Source organism: Homo sapiens, chromosome 7 (genome assembly GCF_000001405.40).
Source record: "Homo sapiens chromosome 7, GRCh38.p14 Primary Assembly".
Lineage (NCBI taxonomy): Eukaryota > Metazoa > Chordata > Mammalia > Primates > Hominidae > Homo > Homo sapiens.
In genome coordinates this window covers 29,874,522-29,897,133 of record NC_000007.14, presented here as the reverse complement: position 1 = coordinate 29,897,133, position 22,612 = coordinate 29,874,522, and the positions used below count along the sequence as shown (strand labels likewise).

The following is a 22,612-nucleotide window of genomic DNA, read 5'->3' as shown; positions in this document are numbered from 1 at the left end:
TTTGAGGACATAAGCTAAGTAAAATAAACCAGGCTTAAAAAAACTAATGCTATATAATTCCACTTACATGAGGTACCTAGAGCAGTGAAATTAATAGAGACAGAGAGTAGAAGGGTATTGCCAGGGGCTGGGGGAAGAGGAGAATGGGGAGTTGTTCAGGACTTGGGATATAACCACAATTATGTTTGAAATGTGAATTTTTCAAGCACATGTGAGGTACTTGTTTATCTAAATCTCTCCAAAGGGCAAGGGCCTCAGTGAGTATCTGTTGATAGGAAGATGATGTCATTCTTTATACCATCATTATGTTAACAAATATTTGTGACCTTTGCATTTTTCCCAAAATTCCTACTGACAGTTTTTGTTCACTTTCTTTTTATTGTTGTAAAATACACATAACATACAATTTACCATTAGTGACATTTAGTACATTTACAGTGTTGTGCAACCATCACTTCTATGTAGTTTCAAAATGTTTCTATCACCCCAAAAGGAAAACTTAAAAAAAAATTTTTTTTTTGAGACAGTCTTGCTCTGGCACCCAGGCTAGAGTGCAGTGGCACCATTATGGCTCACTGCAACCTCCACCTCCCGGGCTCAAGCAATCCTCCCACCTCAGCCTCCCAGGTAGCTGGGACTACAGGCATGCACCACCACATTCAGCTAATTTTTGTATTTTTTTGTAGTGATGGGGTTTCGCCATGTTGCCCAGGCTCGTCTCGAGCTCTTGAGCTCAAGCCATCCACCTGCTTTGGCCTCCCAAAGTGCTGGGATTAGAGACATGAGCCACTGTACTCAGCCTAAAATTTTTTCAGAGAGAGGATCTCACTGTTGCGCAGGCTAGAGAGGATCTCACTGTTGCCCAGGCACAATCATAGCTCACTGCAGTCTCAAACTCCTGGGCTCAAATGATTCTCCTGCCTGAGCCTCCCCAGCAGCTGAGACTATAGGAGCACACCACCATGCCTGGCTAATTTTTAAAATTTTTCTGTAAAGACAGAGTCTTGCTATGTTGCCCTGGCTGCCAAAAGAAAGCCTTGCATCCATCAGTACTCACTCACCATTCCCTTCTTCCTCTTCTCTCTGGAAACCACTAATCTATTTTCTGTCTCTGTGGATTTGCCTCTTCTGGACATTCCATCTGAATGAAATTATACAACATGTGGCCTTTCGTTTCTGGATTCTTTCACTTACATAATATTTTCAAGGTTTGATATAGTTTGAATACGTGTCCCCACCAAATTTCATGTTTAACTGTAATCCCCAATTTAGAGGTGGGGCCTGGTGTGAGGTGTCTGAGTCATGGGGGCAGATCCCTTATGGCTTGATGCTGTCCTGGAGATAGTGAATTCTTGCAAGATCTGGTTAAGTGTGTGGCACCTCCTCCAAACACTCTCCCTGTTGCTCCGCTCCGTCACGTGACACAAGTGCTCCTCATTCGCCTTCCACCATGACTGGATGCTCCCTGAGGCTTCCCAAGAAGCAAATGCTGGCATTATGCTTCCTGTACAGCCTGCAGAACTGTGAGCCAATTACGCCTCTTTTCCTATAAATTACCCAGTTTCAAGTATTTCTTTATAACAATGTGAGAACAAACTAACACAAGGTTTATCCATGTTGTAGCAATGTATCAGTGCTTCCATCCTATTTCTTGTTGAATCATATTCCATCGTATGGCTACACCACATTTTGCTTCTGTGTTCATCAGTTATTTCCACCTTTTAGCTATTGTGAATAGTGCTGCTATGAATATTTGTGTACAAGTTCTTGTTTGAACACTAGTTTTAAATTCTTTTTAGCCTATACCCAAGAGTGGAATTGATGGGTCATAATGGTAATTATATGTTTCACTTACTGAGGAATCTAATGCATTTTAAAAACATTAGGAAAAAAAAACTAGGCTGGGTGCGGTGGCTCACCCACCCAACACTTTGAGTTGCCGAGGTGGGCGGATCACTTGAGGTCAGGAGTTCGAGCCCAGCCTGGCCAACAGGATGAAACCCTGTCTGTACTGAAAATACAAAAATTAGCTGGGTGTGGTGGTGCATGGGCTACTTGGGAGGCTGAGGCAGGAGAATCGGTTGAACCCAGGAGGCAGAGGTTGTAGTGAGCCGAGATCACGCCACTGCACTCCAGCCTAGGCAAACGAGTGAGACTGCCTCAAAAAAATGAAACAAAACAAAAGCGAAAAACAACAACAACAACAAAAAAAAACAACAACACACACAAAACACAAAACTAAACAAAGCCATTCACTCAATGGAAGAAAATAGCAAACACCTGCAGAGTGGAGACAGTGATGATGGCTAGTGGAAGAGCTAAGCGTGTGTGCTCGTGTGTGTGTCGTGTGTGTGTGTGTGTGTGTGTGTCAGAAAGAGAGACAGCAAACAAGCAGGTGGGGACAGAGGGCACATAGGAGACCACAGGGTATGAGAACACACTCATCTGATAGAAACAACACTGTCTCCCAGACCACGAAGAACTCATCTTGGGGAGCCAGGTCAACAGTGAACAAGAAGAAAACTGGTAAGGAGAAATGTAATCAGACAGGCATACACCACATCTGATTCACACTAATATAATTTAAAAGGTTCTGCACTAGGGCTCACAGGGATGACAGGAACATGCATATTTAATTTTGCTGGGAGGCTAGTGGAGTACTTCGTGTCCACCGATGCCACATCAATCTAAAACAGTATCTTAATTTTGAAATTGCACTTGCCCTTTCAAGTCTGTACAATGTCAGTTCATTTAATAGGCTGTTTAAAAAACTGCTCTTTGTAAACATCAGGAGATTATTTTTGGTGCACAGACTGCCAATTGCACCCTCCTGGCAAGCTGTGTGCAGTGAGGGGGTGTAGCTTTTCTTCTCTTCTTGAGGACGCGAGTGAGCACCACGGACATAAAATGCAGCTAGCTGTAGATTAGCACTGACTGAATCTGAAGGTTGAGGGACCCCACAGCACATTACTGAGAAAGACTGAAGAGCAGAAAGAGGTTTTTAGGAATCTGTTTTCTGGAATGGTTTAGGGCAGATCAGCAAAACATGACCAGCAGACCAAATCCAGCCCACACCTGTTTTTGTAAATAAAGTTTTATTGGAACACAGCCATGCCGATTCATTTATGTATTATTTATGGCTGCTGATTGATTTAATAATCAGCAGAATTGAGTAGTTGTAATCGAGACCTGCATTACTTCAAATATGTATTCTCTGGTCCTTTACAGCAAATGTTTGCTGACCTCTGGTTTAGGGTATAGGTTACAATTAAAAAGCCTTCAGGGGCCAGGTGGGTGTAAGGGAAAGCTGTGGGGCTTATGGCATGAACGTGGCCAGTCAGCAAACCCTGCCTCAGGGGAAGGAAAGGAGCCTGAATGAGCCAGTAGCTGGGATTCTGTACATTTGCATTTTCCAAGGGCACAGTTATTTCAATACTGCCAATAAGTGTACTGAATTAAATTAAGAAAAACAGTATACATTCTTGATTTACAACTTGGTGACAGTATAATAAAAGGAATTCCTTACCTCCCCCCTCAGCTTTCTGTCTAGGTCACCAAAGTCAAGTCCCATTTATTAAATGCTTGCACGGGCCTGGCTGTCTGGGAGGGACTGAGTTGACCCTGTTCATTGGCAGCTTAAAGCCTCCTGTCACACAGACAGACCTACTTCACGCACCCCGGCCGACATCATGGCCATGTCCTTCATTGTTCTATATTTCCATCTCCAAACTAATGGCCAGCAAATCAAGTCCTTGCCCTTGCCCCACCCTATCAGCCCCAGACCTGTATACCCTGCGCTCCACCTGCCACATGGCATCTCCCCCTTGTAGCCCTTTAGCCACCTCCCCTCACCATAAATGACAGGAATCCCATCACCTCCCCCTGAAACCTCCAGTTCCTTCTTGGTGTCACATTCTCCAACCAGCCCAAGGCAGGCACTCCTGGGATGCTGGCTCCTCCACTTTCCTTGATCCCATCTGCACCTGGTTCTCCAAACCCTGATCACTCTGAGGACCTCCTCCATCCAACCTCCCTTGCACAGACTCTTTTTTTTTTGTTTTTTGTTTTTAGATGGAATTTTGCTCTTGTCACCCAGGCTGGATTGCAATGGCACGATCTCAGCTCACTGCAACCTCTGCCTCCCAGGTTCAAGCAATCCTCCTGCCTCAGCCTCCCAAGTAGCTGGGATTACGGGCGTCCGCCACCACACCCGGCTAACTTTGTATTTTTAGTAGAGACAGGGTTTCACCATGTTGACCAGGCTGGTCTCAAACTCCTGACCTCAGGTGATCTGCCTGCCTCAGCCTCCCAGCACAGACTCTTATAATAGCTGGCTAACAGGTTCCCTGACCCTGGTCTCTACCTCCTCTGATCAAGCCACTGGTTATCTGTCTCAACCTGCATCTCATCACGTCCGTTCTCAGAGTTCACCACGGCCAAATGGAACTGGCCCTGGGTTCAGACAGGTGTGGGTTCAAAATTCCTGGCTCTGGCTTTAATCTGCTGTGAGGCTTTAGGCAAGTCACTTGGCCTTTTCCCTGTCTGGAAACTCTCTGCATTAAGGACAAATGATAAGGTATGCAAAGCACCTAGAACAGTGCCAGGCATGAACATCCACAGCATCCACTGCAGGGTCCATGACGGCCCTGGAACTGTCATTTAGTGTTTGCACTGACAGTTCTTCCCTGCTTACAGGTTCACGCTCCAATGCCTTAGGCAGGACACAGACTGTTAGAAGGCACCCTTATCTCCTTGTCTCCATAGGTTCATGTGCAGGCAGCCCCGTGCAGCCTGGCTCCTTCCGGCCCACTATGAGATCCAGCTGCCTGTTGATGAAGGGGGTCCCTTGGCTCTGCTCTCCTTGCCATGTGGAAAGTCCCGTGAGGCACACTCTGTGACTGTAGGGGGCCAGGCTCAGTTTCCTCATGTGTGAGTCCTGCTGCCTGAGGGAGTAAAGGAGCCTAATTCTGGGGCAGTATTAGGAGGCCTGCTGTTGGGGAACCTAAGCTGTGTCCTCCAATAAGAACACAAACACTTAGGTTTTTATCGAGCTGATTCCTGTGCATATTTCACAAGATGGGGAAAGGGGTGTTATATATGGACACACACTCCCAACCTTGCACCTCCGGCAGTCTGTATGGTCTTATCTAGCCAGGCACCTTGGGCTCTGATGTACCACGTGGGACAGATGGTTCCTACATGCACCCAGCACAATCACACTCTCTCCTGGGTCTGTCCTGTCCTCAGCCTGGATGCCTTCCCACCCACGTGGAACTGTGACCCTCTCTCTCTGGCTTTCAGGCCCCCAGCATTCACCTGCACCCCCTTGGCACTCTAAACAATCATTGATTAAGACACTCTTATGGGGTCTAATTCTCATCTATCTCAGGAGGGTGGTGGGTGCGTGGTGGAGGAGAGCTTGTTTCTTACACTTTGCAGCCTCTGGTGCCTACAGGGTGCCTGCCGTATGACAGGCGGTTCATGTGAGCGCGCTGAACTGAGCAAGGATGGGAGATGGACACAGCACCTGTCTTCCCCCATTGCTGGCCCTTCATGTTCTATTTAACCTTCAGTGGGTGGGATTTCCCTCCATCCTCCTTCATACTGATCCCTTTCTCTCTCTCTCAACTCAGAGCAGTTGGTATTTACATTTTATTAGAAAGGGCACACAGGGTTATATCTCTAAATGTACAGCCACGCAGGCCAGCAGAGAGATGTCCCAGCGGACCCAGAGATGAACATCCACCTGAGCACAAGGCAGGCCTGTGTTCCCCTCACCTGAGCACAGGGCAGGCCCACTTTCCCCCGACCAGAGCACAGGGCAGGCCCGTGTTCCCCACACCTGAGCACAGGGCAGGCCCTCGCCCCCTCCACCTGAGCACAGGGCAGGCCCTCGCCCCCTCCACCTGAGCACAGGGCAGGCCCTCGCCCCCTCCACCTGAGCACAGGGCAGGCCCGCGCCCCCTCCACCTGAGCACAGGGCAGGCCCGCGCCCCCTCCACCTGAGCACAGGGCAGGCCCGTGTTCCCCCGACCTGAGCACAGGGAAGGCCTGTGTTCACCACACCTGAGCACAAGGCAGGCCCGTGCCCCCTCCACCTGAGCACAGGGCAGGCCCTCGCCCCCTCCACCTGAGCACAGGGCAGGCCCTCGCCCCCTCCACCTGAGCACAGGGCAGGCCCGCGCCCCCTCCACCTGAGCACAAGGCAGGCCCGCATTCCCCCCACCTGAGCACAGGGCAGGCCCTCACCCCTTCCACCTGAGCACAGGGCAGGCCCACATCCCCTCCACCTGAGCACAGGGCAGGTCTGCGCCCCCTCCACCTGAGCACAGGGCAGGCCCTCGCCCCCTCCACCTGAACACAGGGCAGGCCTGAGCCCCCTCCACCTGAGCACAGGGCCCTGGGTTCCCTCCACCTGAGCACAGGGCAGGTCCACGCGCCCTCCACCTGAGCACACGGCAGGCCTGCATTCCCTCTGCTCTGCAGGAAGTTGAGTTCTGCAGAAAGGACTTCACTAAGGTCCCTCTGAAAGAAGACGGGCAAAGAGCCTGGCTCACGATTCCTGGTCTTAGGCTAACCCTGGACACTGATTTTCCATCTGGGTCCACAGAGGTCTGGAATGGGGGCTTACTTAGGGTGTCGGGTGGGAACGCATTTGACACTCACTCTATAATGCTGACTCTGGCTCCTGCCCAATCTGATTGGCCCAGTACCAGACAAGAATTGGCTCTTCCACCTCATCACCTCATTCTCTCTCTCTCTTTTTTTTTTTTTTTTTTGTGGATACAGAGTCTCACTCTGTCATCAATGCTGGAGTGAAGTGGCACAATCATAGCTCACTGCAGCCTCCAACTCCTGGGCTCAAGCAATCCTCCCACCTCAGGCTCCCAAGAAGCTGGGACTACAGGTGTGCACTACCACACCTGGCTAATTATTTTGTAGAAATGGAATCTTGCTATGTTGACAAGGCTGGCCTTAAACTCCTGGCCTCATGTGATCCTCCTGCCTCAGCCTCCCAAAGTGCTGGGGTTACAGGCATGGATCATGCCTGGCTCATCTTTCTACTCTTAAGGCTGAACAGTTAAGCTGGGTTAAATGTCCTCTCTTAAAGTCTGACCACACAATGAAATCAGGAGGAGGAGGGCCCTTACTGGGCTATTATTCTCAACCTTGGCTGTATGTTGGAATGACCTGGCAGCTTTTAAAAATCCTGACACCTTGATATTCTGATTATGTGGTTTAGATGTAACCTGGCCTTCAGGATTTGTAAAAGCTCCTTAGGTCATTCTAATATGTTGCCAAGGTTGAGAACCATTGACCTGAGGACATTCTCCATGTCACGATTTGCCAGAGTTCTGAATTAGGGGTTTTCAGGTTCCTCCTCAGTGATTGATGCAAAATATCCTATTTTGCTGTTATCTGGGTTGGTTAGTTCCCTTATCAAAAGCCCCAGGGAGGAGAGAGATGAGTGGTAAGTTTAGGCATCCAAATCTGATGCCAAACAGTTACCCTTAGTGTTCTATAAAAATCTCTAAATGAACACTTAGGTATCAGGAGAAATCAATGTCCTGAAAGTTCCAGAACTATGCACAGCACTACATCCTTGCAGTGGTACAGTGAAATCATGACATCATCCTTTAGACAGTCTGTGACCAACTGATGCACAGTGGGCACCTAATTTTGAAGGGTCGGGAGATGCCAGGAGTCTTATCAAGGTGGTACTTACTTCTGGGGATCTTGCTGGGGTAAATCTTCTGGCATGGTTTATATTCATCCGGAGGGGGAAAGTCTTCCACAGAATGGAACGTGAATTTAGACTCGAAGTCATCTGCACACAAGCGAAATGGAAAGAGTTACTCAGGTTACTGTCATGATCCAAGTTTTGATCATTTCCAGGAGCACAGAGATTACTCTGACTGCATCCACCGTTTTCTGTTTGCCTGCTCAGTGCAAGGATTTTAACAACAGGGCCATTCTCCCTAAGACATCCATTCACCTCTCAAGTTTTACTGGTTGGTTGGGATGGAGGGAAGCAGGAAGAGGGAAATCCAGTCACTCCCTGTCACCCACCTGAACTTACTTCAACCAATAACACCGTAAGGAAGCTGCTAAAGGGGTGGAAGTGGCATGGGGCTCTCCAGGGTCCAGAATCAGAGGTGGGGACCCTGGTCCCAACAAGGAACTGGCAAAGCCCCAGCAACCTGAAGCACCTGAGAAGCTCCTGGGAGGGTTTTGAGGGGAGGGAGAGGTGGGCAGAATGACTGGGGAATGGAGGAGCATGGCCTGTGTCTAGGGTGGGACCTGAGCTCCACAAAGCAAACAGCTTCTGCTCTGGGATCTGTTGGCAGGAGGGGAGGGCTCCTGTGGCCCTTTCATGGGCTGAGCCCCTGCTTTGTGATCTGGGCCTCTGTCAGACACTAGCCCAGCACACAGAAGGGATCGAAAGATTCCACGGCTTCACATCTGACCCCAGGTGACTTTCCTTCCTACCTCCATACTTGTACTCAAAATGTCCCTCTACCTGGTGAGTCTTCTATGTATCTTTCTCCTTATCCATATCATTCTACTCTTTCAGGCTTATGCATTGATTTCTCCATAGACACACACACACACACACACACACGCACACACACGCACACGCACACACACTCACACAGTTTAAATGCTGCTTTTCTTCCCTTTCTCTAATCTGAATTAGAAGGCTAGACAGTGGGCCTTGAAACTATGCAGAAAGCCTTGAAAGGAACCCTATTTAACAGAACCTATGGGCTGGTTGGTGCTGGAGTGAGCCCCTGTTCATGAAAGAAGCATGCACCCTGAGATGGCAGCACTGTGGCCAGCAAACTCTCTCTCCAGAGGTTGGGAGAATCACTTTCCTACTGGCAGCCAAACCGGCAGAGGGTGCAACCCACTTACCAATGATGTGCAGGCTTCCATTTCGCAGTTGACCTCCAGGCTGCTGCGTCGGGGTCCAGGCTGTGGCCTGCTGGCTCTTGCTTGAAAGCTCTGTGGTAGGTGATCTCGCAGGGGGTGCTGGAGGTGGATTTAGCTTTCCCCCACCGGCCCCTTACAGAGAAGATGATGGTGTACTCAGAAACACGGATGGGAATGGTGGATGCTATAACCTTATGTGAGATATTAGGCATTTCTATCTTCAGATGTAATATGATACAGCGAGTAAAAGGGCAACCTCTGGAGTCAACCTGCTTGGCACTGAATTGCAGTTCTCCTGTTGGGATAAGTAGCATAGCCTCTTTGTGTTTTAGTTTCCTCATCTGTAAGATGGGAGTAGTAATAGTACACCCACTTCCCAGGGTTACTGAGAAGATTCAATGAGTTGAATTTAAGTTGAGTGGCATGTAGTAAGTCCTCAATAAATGTTAGCTGCTGCAATAATATTAATGATGGTGATAACCTTCATCATCAGGTACAGCCCAAAGCAGGGGAATCACTAGAGAGTGGTAAGAACAGGAAGGGCTGTCTGTAGAAGAGGCCCAGAGGGAGGCTTGAAGAGGGAGCGGCCAGGGGCTTGTTCTGCCCCTGTGTCCCTGCTCACACTGGTTCTCCAGCACTGCAAATGCTTGTTTCTCTTTCCGGTCCACCTAAATCTTACGTGCCCTCCAGGGCCTAACTTGAATCCAACCTACTTCCTCCAGCCTTCTCTGATCATGCCTGAGAGGCTCACTATCTCCTTTGCCAATACTTTCCTGTATGGTTCATCTGGCAACCCAAAATCTGCTATCCTGGCACATCAGTGCAGGGGTTCCACTGCTGCTTATTTCTTCAGTGGCACTGCAAACATCACTTTGCTTCTTGAAATGATGACAATTACATTATTACTATCTGTGCTAAGATGTTCACAACTACTACCTCTCTCTTTTCCCCCCATGTTGGGCTAAAGTAGAAATTGCCCTTATTTTGAACATGGACAAACCAAGTTTCAAATCCAAAGATGCAAACAAGAAGGGCAGATATGAATCCCCATCCTGGCCTTGGGCTCACTACTCTGGAGCAGATGAAGGGGCCCCAGCTGCAGCAGGCATTCTCAGTCATCAGCCGCCATCCTCGTGTCTCATGTCCCTTCAGCATCTGCTCATCTTCTTTTCTTCCTCCCAACTGCCTTCCTCTCCCTTTCTGGTCTTCCCTTTCTGGGCACAAGGATCTATGAGGAATTTACTTGCTCCCACATGCAGTAAAAGGACTGCAGCCCCTCTTCTGGGTGAACAGCTGCCCCACTGTGTGGTAAGGAAATAATGCTGCTGGAGCTGAAGTTACATGCAAGCCCTTTATGCAGATTTCTCATTTCATATTCCTAATAATCCTATGTGAAAGGTGTTATTAGTAGGCCCATTTGTCAAATAAAAAAAATTCAGTATTAATAAAAAACAAACCCAAGTGGTGTGAGTTTCCACAGGAGTGGGTGAGGAACCCAGGATCTGAACTCATAGCCCTCTGAATCAAAAGCCTTGTTTTTGTTGGCCGGGCATAGTGGCTCACACTTGTAATACCAGCACCTTAGGAGGCTGAGGTGGGCTGATCACTTGAAGTCAGGAGTTCGAGACCAGCCTGGCCAACATGGGGAAACCCTGTCTCTACTAAAAATACAAAAATTAGCCAGGTGTGGTGGTGCACGCCTGTAACCTCAGCTACTCGGAAGGTTGAGGCACAAGAATCACTTGAACCTGGGAGGCGAAGGTTGCAGTGAGCTGAGATCCTGCCACTGCACTCCAGCCTAGATGGCAGAGTGAAACTGTGTCTCAAAAAAAAAAAAAAAAAAAAAAAAAAAGCTTTGTCTTTTTCATCACATCATAAATAGATGAAAATAACAAATATCAGAAGGGGCTTATCAGCCCAAATGCTGGCCCTCATGGTGACCAGTCAATTGAAAAGAGAATGATTAAAACCTTACCTCTTGTAATCAAGAGGCTTAAAAATATCTTTGCTCTTTGCACCAGGAATTCCCTTTAAGACACCAATACTTTTAGAAAAATATCAAAAACGTGGATTAAAATTTCTACAAAAGTATTTCTTAAAATATTACTCATAATAACAAAAAATGGAATCAACTTAGATATCTAACATGAGGAATATGGAATATATTGTCATGCTTATAAAGACATTTTAACAATTTGATAAAATTGTTTTTAACATAATGTTAAATAAAACACAGAACACAAAACTGTATGTGAAAAATGGTATTAACCATGTAAACGTGTACATATATTCAGAAAAAAGAATTGAAGAAACCTATCCAAATGGCAGTTTTCATCTCTGGGTGATGTTATTATGGGTGATTGAATTACTTAATTTACTCAGAGACAGCAGCATCTGGCTCTGTCATCCAATCTGGAGTACAATGGCACAATCATAGCTCCCCACAGCCTTGAACACCTAGATTCAAACGATCCTCCTGCCTTAGCCTCCCAAGTAGCTGGGACTATAGTTGTCTGCCACCATGCCCAGCCAATTTTTTATTTTTATTTTCTGTAGAGATGGGGTTTCGCTGTGTTACCCAGGCTGGCCTAGAACTCCTGACCTCAAGCCATCTTCATGCATGGGCCTCCCAAAGCAGTGGGATTACCGGTGTGAGCCATCCGTACCTGGCCAGTTTGAATTTCCGTCTATTAGCTCTGCAACAAGCTTGCGTTATTTTTAAGTCAAGAAAATACTTTTAAGAAGCTTTCTGCATCAAAAGATTTTCTAAAAGACAAAGGAATATGTGTGTTGGGGGTGTGCATGTGGATGTGTGTGTTATGAGTGTGCATATGTTTGAGTGTGTCTGCCTGTGTGGATGTGGGTGTATCTGTGGACGTGTGGAGGTACTTTCCATTCACAGGGGCACTAAAACTGAATGAAGCCTCCTACTAGCGGGATCAAGGAAATCAGCCATGGGGCATGAACGCTCAATTCAAATAACCTGTGCTGCATATGTGAAGGAATTATTTTTAATATTTGGCTCAAAATACAGGCCCTCAGTTTTCTTGAGTCAGCCGGAGAACCTGCGAAAACTAAGGCAGAGTGGGAATCCAGTTTACTGAGGGCCGGCGAAGATTCTGGCTGGGATCCAGATAGGAAAACGCGGGCAAATATAAAAGGAGGCCTGGTTCTGGAAACAAGCCACACTCACGCCCCCTCCACCTCAGGGAGGAGATTGGGAGTTGGAAGGTTGGTAGTAAGAATAAATAATCCCTCTCAAGCTCACTGTTGCCCTGTTCCAAGCACCTCAAACCTAAGAACTCACTTAATCCTTAACAACAAACCCAGGAGGTAACAACTATTGCCATCTATCCCCATTTTACAGATGAATAGAAGGGAGAACAGAGAGGCCAAGTGGTCGCCCAGGGCCACAGAGCTAGTAAGGGCAGGGGATCAAGGCCGGGATCCCTTGCTTACATGCAGCATGATTTTGGGCAAGTCTCTCTGCCTCCCTCACCCCTGGTGTCCATCTCTGAAACGAATACCTCCAACAATAAAGTCCTGTGCAACGACGAGATTTTATCGCACTCCACCAGGGGCACTGGGCCAGGCAGCGCTCCTTACCTGGTCGGCCATGCCTCTTCTTCTGCAGGAACGGCTGGGAGCCCGGAGGGGCAGGCGGGGCGGGCAAGGCCTGCGCACCGGCCTTCTGCGGTGGGGCCTGGAAGCTGGGGGATTTAGGGGGTAGCGGGGGTGGAGTTTCACTGCTGCTATTAACTCCTGGCAAAGGGGGCGCGGGCAAAGAAGCCCTCGGGGAGCAAGAAGCATAAGGGGGGAGCGGGGGCGGCGGGGCGGGAGGCTCCTGCGCATCTTGCGCAGGGCTGGCGGGCTCCGCTTTGAGCCCCGGATACCCACAAGGTGGGAGCAGAGGGAGCGGGGGCGGGATGGGCGGGAGGTGCAAGGGAGCCAGCTGAGGCTTCACTGCCTTGTCACTAAGAACCGAGGCCGGGGGCAGCGGGGGTGGCGTTGGGGGAGGTGGCGGAGGTGGAGGTGGTGGCGCACAGGGGACGGGGGGTGCAACCACCGGGAGGTTCCCTTTGGTCAGTGGGCCGGGTGGGGACACAAGCGGAGTTTTGATGGGGGAGGAAGAGGGAAGGGGCGGGGGTAAGGGTGGAGGCGGAGGGGGTGGGGTGGGAGGGGGCGGGGCAGGCACGTTGGGGCGAGGCGGGGCTGTCCTGGCAGCGCCATGCGCCTCGGAGGTATTGCCTAGCCTGGGAGAGGCAGGCGGGATAAGCGGGCCGCTGATGGTTTTGTTGGGAAGCCTGGGAGAGGGCGCGCGGGAGCCAGGGCCCTGCCCTGTCTTGCCACCTGGAAGTGAAAGAGATTCTGGGTTAGCTCGGCAATAAAGAAGGAGAAAGCCCCCGCAGGTAGGCGGCACTCAGGACACTCAAGCCTGCCCGCAGTGAGCTGCACTGTAGACCGCTTTTTCTGCACGTGTCCACTGAGAGGCCTCAGGTGCCACAGCTGTCACCCAGAAGGACCAACTGGACCAGATCCAAAGTCCTTGCCAGCATTAATGACAAGCCCAGGTCAGGCCTCCAGCCCTCCTATCCATGCCACCTGTGCTGTCATCTGCCTTGGGCCTCTAGTATCCCAGCCAGGGCCAGGACTGCCCGGGTGTCTTTTGCCCTTCCTAATCAAGGCCACACTCACGAACTCATTCACTGACACCCGCTAGGTCCATCAGCCCTTATGCTCTAATTTGGACCCTCAGGTGTACCAACCAGCACTCCTGGCTAGGGAGGTTTTCTTCACTCCCAGCATTTTGTGAAATTTGACTTTCTTTGTTTCTGTGTTGAGAGCAGAAAATTCATGATTCCCTGAATACATAAGGTAAGACTGGAGGGAGACATTTGCCCTTGACAACCCAGGTCCAATGACCTTGAACCTCACAGTTCTATGACCTCTGGAAGTTCAAAACCTCCTTTCCCAAAGACTTATGCTAATTCCCAAGGGTTTTGGCTTTCTCATCCTATAGATCCTTCATTGCATCTGCCCCAGCTTGAAATTCAATTCCTCTTTTAAATTCAACAACAACCATTGGCTCTTGATAAGCATTTGCGTTTGGTTTTCATGGAAGACTCAGGTGGAGCACGTCCCCAGGAGGGGCCTCTATACTCCGCACAGCCTTGCACCTTTTTGCCAGTTCTCACCCTTTTTTCGCTCTGCCTCTCTCTAATAAGAAAAAGTTCCTCTCGTTGTTTACTGCCTCGAAGTTCTGCAATTACTGCTTAGAGATGTCCTTGGAGTATCACTGTCTACTCAGGAGGCAGATTAAAATATTTCTTCCAGATTTAGTGCTCTTTTTATAAGAATTCTGGGGGGTGTTTTCCCCTATATTTTATAATCACCATGACAACATGTGGACAACACTTGAAAAATGATGTTTTCTCACACCCACTACTTCCTGGGTGCTGCAGCATGGGACCTGCAGCTTTCATTTCAGATTAGAAATCCCAGCATCTGTTGGGGGTTCTGAGATTTGCAGTACTTGAGTCTCCTGTGTGTTTACCCCAATCAGGGGCTAAGCCATACACTTAAAGTACTGGATGTCAAAAGCCAGGCCAATCAAAGCACGGCCTAGCAGAGGTGACTCAGGTGAAGCTAAGTAGGCAAGACCTTGGTATCTGGCTTTCCAAATATGAGCCCCTCTGGCTATAATGTGACAGTCACCTAGACCATAATATTCCAACCACATTATGGAATGGCTGTTCTTAAGGTAGGGTGAGGATGGTATTAGCAGGTGTCAGCTCAGGGATTCCTGCCTAGAAGTTCTCAAACCTTTTTCCATATAATACAAAAAGATGACGAGGAGAACCTAGGCAGCTGCCTAAACAAGGCAGAGCCTACCTACATGCCCAGTGGCTGAATGAAATTGAAAGGGATAATGAAAGTTTACAAAACAGAGCAAAGCCTACCCTTAAATAGCCTATCCAAACCTTTTAAGTAACTGAGGACACCATGTCTCAGAGATTCAAAAACCCTTAAAGTGAGTCAGTTAAAAGTAGGGGATCCTGTGTTGATGAAGCCACCAACCAAATGAGAAATGTGGGCAAACTCATTTTTATCCTAACATGCGCAGCAGAAGCGAGGGCGGGCATGCCCCTCAGGGAGGAAGGTGAGACTGCAGAGGAGAAAGGGGCTGATGGTGTAAGTGCAGGCAAGTGGAGGAGGCAGGCCTGGGCCGACAGAGAGCTCCGAGGGAGTTGAAGGAAGTAAGGGAGGAGGCTGTCCTTCACAATGGAAACCCGAGCCCTAGAAATCCAGAGAAAACACAAAGGAGGCCAGGAGGTGGCGGGAAAGGCCAGATTGAGGGCATCAGGGATGCTGTGCCCATAGGAAAGGATTCAGCTTTTAGAACATGCAGGTTTAGCAAAAGATGAAATATTTCTTCTTCCTCAAATCTGAATGTTCTCCAGAAGACCTTGGAAGTCTCATTACATATTCTATTCAACCCAGAAATAATGTTTACTCATCATATCTTATTGTAATTCTCACTCCCTTAGAGCTCTAGGCCAAGGTTGCATTATGACTCCAGGGTCCCTAGGCACTTTTGCCTTTGTGGGCCTCTTCTCTATTAAAAAAATATTTATATTCATGACTGCATTGGTACAAAGACAAATACATTCTTTGATCCTAAAAGGTCATATGTTTTCTTCTGATTTTAAAAGAAATTTAAATATTTTCATGGGTCCCTAAAAGTACCATGAGCCCATGACACTGTGCTATGGTCCCTAATGAATGTCAGCCACCACACTACCATTCACACATGCAATTCAGCAAGTATTTACTGAGCACCTGCCATGCGCCAGGCATTTCTATGGCAATGAACAAAACATAGTCCCTGCCTTCACGGAGCTTAGCTTCAGATGGATCAGACAGACAATAAACAGATAAACCAGTGAATACATGATATGTCAGGTGGTGCCGAGTAATACAAGAAAAGTAAATTGAGGAAAAGGAGATATGGAATGAAAGGATAGGACTAAACCTTTATATGGGATAATAAGTGAAGACCTCACGGACACTTTGATCAGCTGCCACCTGAGCAGAGACCTGCAGGAAGGGAGAGACTGAGCCACGTGGACACCTGCGGATGAGCCTTTCAGGCCAAGGGAGAGTCGGTGCAAGCGCCCAGTGGCAGCAACATGCTGGTGTGTGAGAGCAGCAAGGAGGATAGTGTGAGTGGAGGGGATGGCATGAACCACCAAGAAAGGTAGGCCAGAAGATCAGAGAGGGAGCAAAGGCTCAAGTCCCTTCCTCTGATGAGAAGGGGGCTGTTGGGAAAGTGCTGGGAGCAGGGAGCCACGGCCTGCCTTGCCCTGACATGGTACCCAGTCCATGTGTTTATCTGGTGGCTTTCTCCTTGAGTTTCCATCCTGGAACAGGCATCATTAGTCACTTCCTTATGGACCTCCATCTCTAAAGAGATAAATTCTTGTCTTCCCCATTACAGCGGCTCAAACATCTGACACTTATGTCCCACTGGTGACAAGCAGACCAGTAGGACTCCTGCTGGCTATTTTTGGCTGCTTCCTATGAAAACCTGACTGGGGCCCATTTCTCCCATCTTCTATGAAGAGAAACTGGTGGAAGCCTTCTATTCCAAAGGATATTTGTTTGATAGCACTCGGGAATTTTGAAAAAGAAGAGGACACTGAAGAATATCCACTGTCTTTATTGAGGAAGACCTTGTACTCTACCTTTCCTGCTAACCCCTCAGCAAAAATGAGGAAATGAACATGGCCCCTGAGAAGGTTCAAGTTGGATCTCAAAATATCCTAGAGTCTTTTTCTTTGCTGGACTTTTATTGGTGAGTGAGGCAGCATAATCATCCCATAACATTAAACAGTCACAGAAGCCACTGAAAAAGTTAGAAAAGTCGCATGATGGAAGATCTGGTACGAGGAAGGTTTGGGCCTTTGTATTTCCTCCTGTATTAATGGTATTCCTGGAGTTTATTCAGCTTGCTGGTTAAAGAGAACAAGAATAGGAAAAACAGGTTTTTTTTCTCAGAGTAAATTTGTATTTGTTCAATTTTAATGCAATATTTTCAAAACATCTGATGCCCACTGAAACAAAAATCACTGAGGTAGACTGATTACAGACATGGCCTTCATTACCCACTTATGCTTGATTCCATAATCTTTGAAATATGATTTTACAGTTCCTCTCATCAAGAGGCGAAGTCTATTTCCCCATCCTTGTGACTTGTTTTGGCTAAGAGAATGTGGTAGGAAGTGATACTTCTTAGACTTCCAAGTTACATCCTAGTAATACTTCCAAGACTAAGCCTCAAGAGACTTTATTTATACTTCTGTCTTCTCTCTTGGAACCCTGCTGCTGGCATGAAAACAAGGCCCAGACAGCCTGCTGGATACTGAGAGACCACGTGATAGAGGTGAGTCAGGCCAGTGGTTATAGCTGAGGCTCCAGAGGTTGGAAAAATATGAGAAATATAAGATTAGCAAAGCTACCTACACAACCTGCAGTTCTTTATAGATGCAAGAGGGAGCCCAGCCAAGACTACTCTAAGCTGCTAACCCACAGAATTGTAGGCTAAAAAATGATTGTTTAAAGCTTTTAAGTTTTAGGGTGTTTCGTTACACAGCAGTACCTAACTGATATGATGACCGAATCATTACAACTCATGCATTGCTAATGCATCCACAGTGATGTCACTATGAAGTTCTATTACAATTTGGACCTTCTGTTTATATACACTTTGCAGTCTGGGCTACCATCACGCCATCACTAAGTATTACACACTATTACAAGTCATTTTTAAGCTATTACAATGGAATAATTTAAACAGGATGATGAATTAAAAGATTTCTCAAGAACCATTTTGTACTTTGGAAGTTTCTAGTGCTTAAGGTCCCAAGAACATGATCTTCTACTCTATCATGCCCGTTCAGTAAAACCATGTTGCTTACTGGCATGTGTGGATTGCCCAGATGGTTCCACAAGTTAAGGAGATACAGACCACAAGGGAGCCAGAATGAATTCTTCCTTACCTGCTACATCCCGCTGGCCTGCTGGTCGCAATACAGGAAAGCCACCAGCAAACAGATCTCCCAGGGTGGGAGGTGTGCTCGCGCCTCGTGTGTTTGCAGAACCTCCTCCTTCTTTGTTGGTTCCTTTAGAACCTTTAGAGAGAAGACACAAATAGGCAAGGACTTGAGAGCAGAGCTGAGCAGCCAGGTCTCATTTCAGACCATGGTCTAACACTGGTCTACCACTGCCCTTGTCAGCCTTCCCATTCTCCCACCTCCAATGTCATCCTTTCACTCAGCATCCTCCCCAAGCACCCTCTGCCTTGATACCCTGTAGACTCACATGCCCTGCCCTCTCCAGTCCTACCAAAGAACTAACCATCTGTGCCCAGCTCCCCTGAAAAGTGACCAAAACAAAGGGACCTGAACACTGCCATTTTGTAGATGCTAACAGAGCAACTGGCAGCACCTTCGAATTAGAAAACCCAAATGTGGTAGGTGTAGAGCTGCTCTTATTTTCAACTTGGCTATGGAGGACTAGACAAAGAAAACCCACAGATTTAATTCAGTCAGTCATTTTAACTTCTTGTCCACAGAGCGCTGACCAGAACAGCAGGCAGGAGGTAAAGCCTGCCATGACTGTGCCCTGGCAGTTTCCTTCCTGTCTCTCCAGCCCTCAAGCCCCCAGCCCCTCGCACCTCCCTGCACCTTTTCATCTATGGAACGGAAAGATCATGAGCCCCTGAGGAAAGGTGTCACTAACTCCAGCCTTCCAGACATGTGTGATTACCAACTACAGAAAACGAGAAGATACTCAGCTTAGACAAGAATTCCTGGCAGAAAATATTTAACAACTTGAAGCTAATATGCACAGAGAAATTAGGGCACAGTGCCCACTGGTGGATGAAAGTGGCCAGATTATTCTGAGTATTAATATTGTACATTACTTACTCATGAGAATGATTAGGAAGTGAGTGTTTCAATGAAATTGATTTACCTGTTAATTAGGCTTAACCAATTCGATCATGGGTTTAACCAGAAACTAATTTTTAATGTACTCAATGTTGAAAATATTTCTCAATGTTGAAAATATTTCTTTAAAAATTTGTCTATCCTTGTGTGTTGACATTTATAATTACAGATAGGAGATATAATTCTATTTTTAGGACTATCTTTAAGAATTACCATCACGCACATCATAGCAAAACATAGGAAGACATAATAATACCTTACATTACAGGGTGAGTATCCCTTATCCAAAATGCTTGGGACCAAAGTATTTCAGATTTTTTTAAAATTTTGAAATATTTACATATACATAATGCGATATCTTGGGGAATGGGACCCAAGTCTAAACATGAAATGTATTTGTTTCATATGTACCTTTACACACAGCCTGAAGTTAATAAAATATTAATTTCATGCAATATTTTAAAATAATTTTGTGCATAAAACAAAGCTTGCGTTCATGGAGCCATCAGAAAGCAAAGGTGTCACCGTCTCAGCCTCCCATGTGGACAATCTGTGGTTTGTCCATTACCATCATTCCTGACACTGAATTTCTATGCTACCAATAAGCAATCATTTTCCTACACTTCTTCACACATAAGTACTTAGCAGTTAAAAATATGGCATACCATTAACACAGCAAAAAAATAATGTGTTCAAGGTAACTAAGCAACACAGTAGTATCACCAGAATACCCGGATCAGCTGTTAGACAACGGCAGCAACAAACAAAGGCAGGCTTTCAGTCTCCTGCGATGCTGTGTTTTGATTAAAGGTTACTGGACACTGGATCTCATTGTTTTAGGTGAGAAGAAACATCAGAAACCACTGAGAGACCAGGAAGTAGGTCCTCTAGAGTTGAGGCAGCATTCTGCTAGCTGGCTTTTAAAAATGTTTCCTCCAGAGTCATCTGCTTCATCAACAATGGTTTTTGTCTCAGAAGCCTCTCTCTGATTTTGTAAACTGACATCATTTCTTGTTCTGTTATGAATGTATGCTACTCTTGTCCTTCAGTAAACACATCATACATTTCCACCATGTCACCTGGAGGCACATTTTCTTCAGGGTTAACGTCATCTTCATCATTCACATGAGGCATCATGTCGACATTCAAAAAGTTTCAGATTTGGGATTTTTGGATTAGGGATGCTCGATCTGTACTAAAGAGTTCTGCATATATTATTTCAACTTTCAACAATCGACCAAGAAAAAAAAAAGGAGCCAGGTATTGTCTCCCCATTTCACAGATGACCAAACATCCTCAAAGAGGCTCCCCGATTTGTCTGGTTGCAGAACCAGAACTCAATGTGGGTCGTCTGACCTGAGCACAGGACTCAATTTACTCTGTCACATTCTAGAAGACAGCAAGCTTCAGTCATATCATCCTCTGAAACAGAATTCTTAATAAATCTTTCTCCTTGTGAAAAGTGAAACAAAAATTTTGCATTTTTTACAAAGTGAGCCCTTCACTTTCTATCACTGAGTTTAAGGACCATGTTGACACAAGGTGAGTGATCTTTAAATGTTACCCTACAAAGAATACACAAAACGTGGTGTGTCCATACAATTAAATATTCAATGATAAAAGGAGTGAAGTACTGATACATGCTCCAACATCTATGAAGCTTGAAAACATTATGCTAAGTGAAGGAAGCCAGCCACAAAAGGCCATATATTGCATGATTCCATTTCTTTGAAATAACAGAATAGGCAAATCCAGAGAGACAGAAAGTAGATTGGGTTGGCAAGGGCCAGGGACTAATGGGGAATGACTTACTAATGGGTATGAGATTTCCTTTAGGGGTGATGTAAATGTTCTGGAACTAGATAGAGGTGATTGTTGCAACAACATTGTGAATATAATAATTGGCACTGATTGAACACTTTAAAATGGTTAAAATGATGAATTTTATATTATGTGTATTTTATCAAAATTTTTAAATAGGTGTCCCATTGCAGAGTTGTTCTTTTTAGCATATGAAAAGGATGGAAGTTATGCTCTAAACCATTTGCAGATTTGGAGGGAAAGCTCTGGTTCTCTCGCCCACTTGGCCTGTCCAATGAGCAGGTCTGAGATGGCTCCATATGCATCCTGGGAAGCAGCTGTGGCCCCAGCCAGGGGTGTCTGGCTGTGCCTCACATGCCTGTCCTGTCTTTGGCTCACAGGAGGCCTGGCCCGGCTGCTCACTTACTCTCGATCTGCGGGGCACTGCGGTCGTTGATCTGCGTGACTTTGCGCAGGCGAGTTCCTTGCTGGATATCAGCCAACAGCGCACTCCGGCCTTTCGGATCTGCCCTTCGCAAGCTGGAGGTGTCTGTGCTTACCTGTAAGGGAGTAAAAGGGATTTGACTATAGTAGCATTTTCAGATAAGCAAAATGTCCTGTCTGCTGTCAGTTTCTCCTCTTGCAGTTCTCTGTCTTCCCCGTCCCACTCCCAAGGCTGATCTCAGATTACCTATGGGAGAGACACTTTTGGGTCCTGCTCACACCTCTTTTCCTGGTGACCTAGAAGGGACTCTTTATTTTAGATGACCAAGTCCCAAGTGCCTATCTTGTGCACAAGCTCCTGGAGGTCTTAGGGAGCCCTAAATCATAGCCCCTCTTTCCTCTCTCTTACACTCCCCACCCCAGGGCTTCTGTCCTTGAGTACCTGGCCCCTGCTCTCAGGTTTTGAATGATCATCCTGCTTGGTGCCCCAGGTCCCCTCCTGGACCAAATCCTTGACTGATTCCCCACTTGACGATGGGAGTTGCTCCTGTGCCCTGTCATCCCCTGGACTGTTCTGCTGAGCAAGACCGAAGTCTTGCTCAGTCCTTAGGTACTCACATCCTCCTTGCTATTGGGTCCTGGGTGGCTCATGCTGGGCCCATTGTGTCTCTTAAGGGAAGCAGATTCATGCTCTAGGAGCTGGCTTTGAATGGAGGATGGTGGTCTTCATGTGATCATGGAGCATAGGGGAGAACTGGGGAGCTCAGGGGAAACTGGGACCCATAGAGGTCAGAAAGTTGTGGAGAAAGGGAATGCAGAAGATTACAATGAATGTCTGGTGACTGTCTTCTGTGCCTGGGTGTGTTACATTAGTCCTCACAAGACCTTGTGCGTTTAAAGTGAGTTTGCCCTCATCTTACAGATGAGGAAACTGAGACTAAGAAATCGTCTGTTTGAGGCTACAGGGCTGGGGTTCAAACCCAGATCAGCTGAATCCCAAAGGCCATGTGCTTTTCACTTTGCAACGATGACTACCAAGGATACATGCTCTTTCATTAGGATAAGTGTCTGATGGACTGCAAGATGCTTCATTAATATATTTGCAGGAAAAAGTTTTGTCCTATTTCTGCAAGTAGCCCTGAGATACACCTGCTTCACTTCAGCTGTAGCTTCAGCTGACATGGTGGAGGTTTCCACGGGTTAGTAGAGCCAGGGAACACCAGAAAGAACATTAGGAGATTGGTGGCAAATAAAGGAGGGAAGGGGTTGCCCTGGAAGCCACAGCCAGGAGGATTCTCCACAGTTATAAGGTTCATACCAGCCACGTGACCTTAGAAATGGCTGATCATTTCTCAAAGCAAGAAATACTTGTTAGCCCTACTGTACGGGGATACCATGTATCTTTGGGTTTCAGCTTAAATATC

The 22,612-nt window shown here is 47.0% G+C and overlaps 1 protein-coding gene across 3 annotated transcripts in view, besides 2 other annotated features; it reads right to left on the bottom strand.

The window, feature by feature from the left end:
- Positions 1 to 22,612, bottom strand: part of WIPF3 (WAS/WASL interacting protein family member 3) — a 110,554-nt gene that overhangs the window by 19,928 nt on the left and 68,014 nt on the right. For all 3 annotated transcript variants that reach the window (NM_001080529.3, NM_001391973.1, XM_017012522.2), the window contains 5 exons: positions 21,172 to 21,304; positions 17,994 to 18,125; positions 12,541 to 13,284; positions 8,917 to 9,066; positions 7,727 to 7,828 (listed from right to left, as the gene is read on the bottom strand). In NM_001080529.3, coding sequence (NP_001073998.2) covers positions 7,727 to 7,828; positions 8,917 to 9,066; positions 12,541 to 13,284; positions 17,994 to 18,125; positions 21,172 to 21,304 — 1,261 coding nt within the window. The remainder of the gene's footprint in view (positions 1 to 7,726; positions 7,829 to 8,916; positions 9,067 to 12,540; positions 13,285 to 17,993; positions 18,126 to 21,171; positions 21,305 to 22,612) is intronic.
- Positions 6,018 to 6,557: an enhancer, noted in NCBI's record as "H3K27ac-H3K4me1 hESC enhancer chr7:29930193-29930732 (GRCh37/hg19 assembly coordinates)". NCBI's record gives its function as "activates a minimal SCP1, AML or CMV promoter by ChIP-STARR-seq in naive H9 embryonic stem cells {active_cell/tissue: H9 hESC(naive)}" and the evidence as "EXISTENCE:reporter gene assay evidence [ECO:0000049][PMID:30033119]".
- Positions 13,007 to 13,902: an enhancer, noted in NCBI's record as "H3K4me1 hESC enhancer chr7:29922848-29923743 (GRCh37/hg19 assembly coordinates)". NCBI's record gives its function as "activates a minimal SCP1, AML or CMV promoter by ChIP-STARR-seq in naive H9 embryonic stem cells {active_cell/tissue: H9 hESC(naive)}" and the evidence as "EXISTENCE:reporter gene assay evidence [ECO:0000049][PMID:30033119]".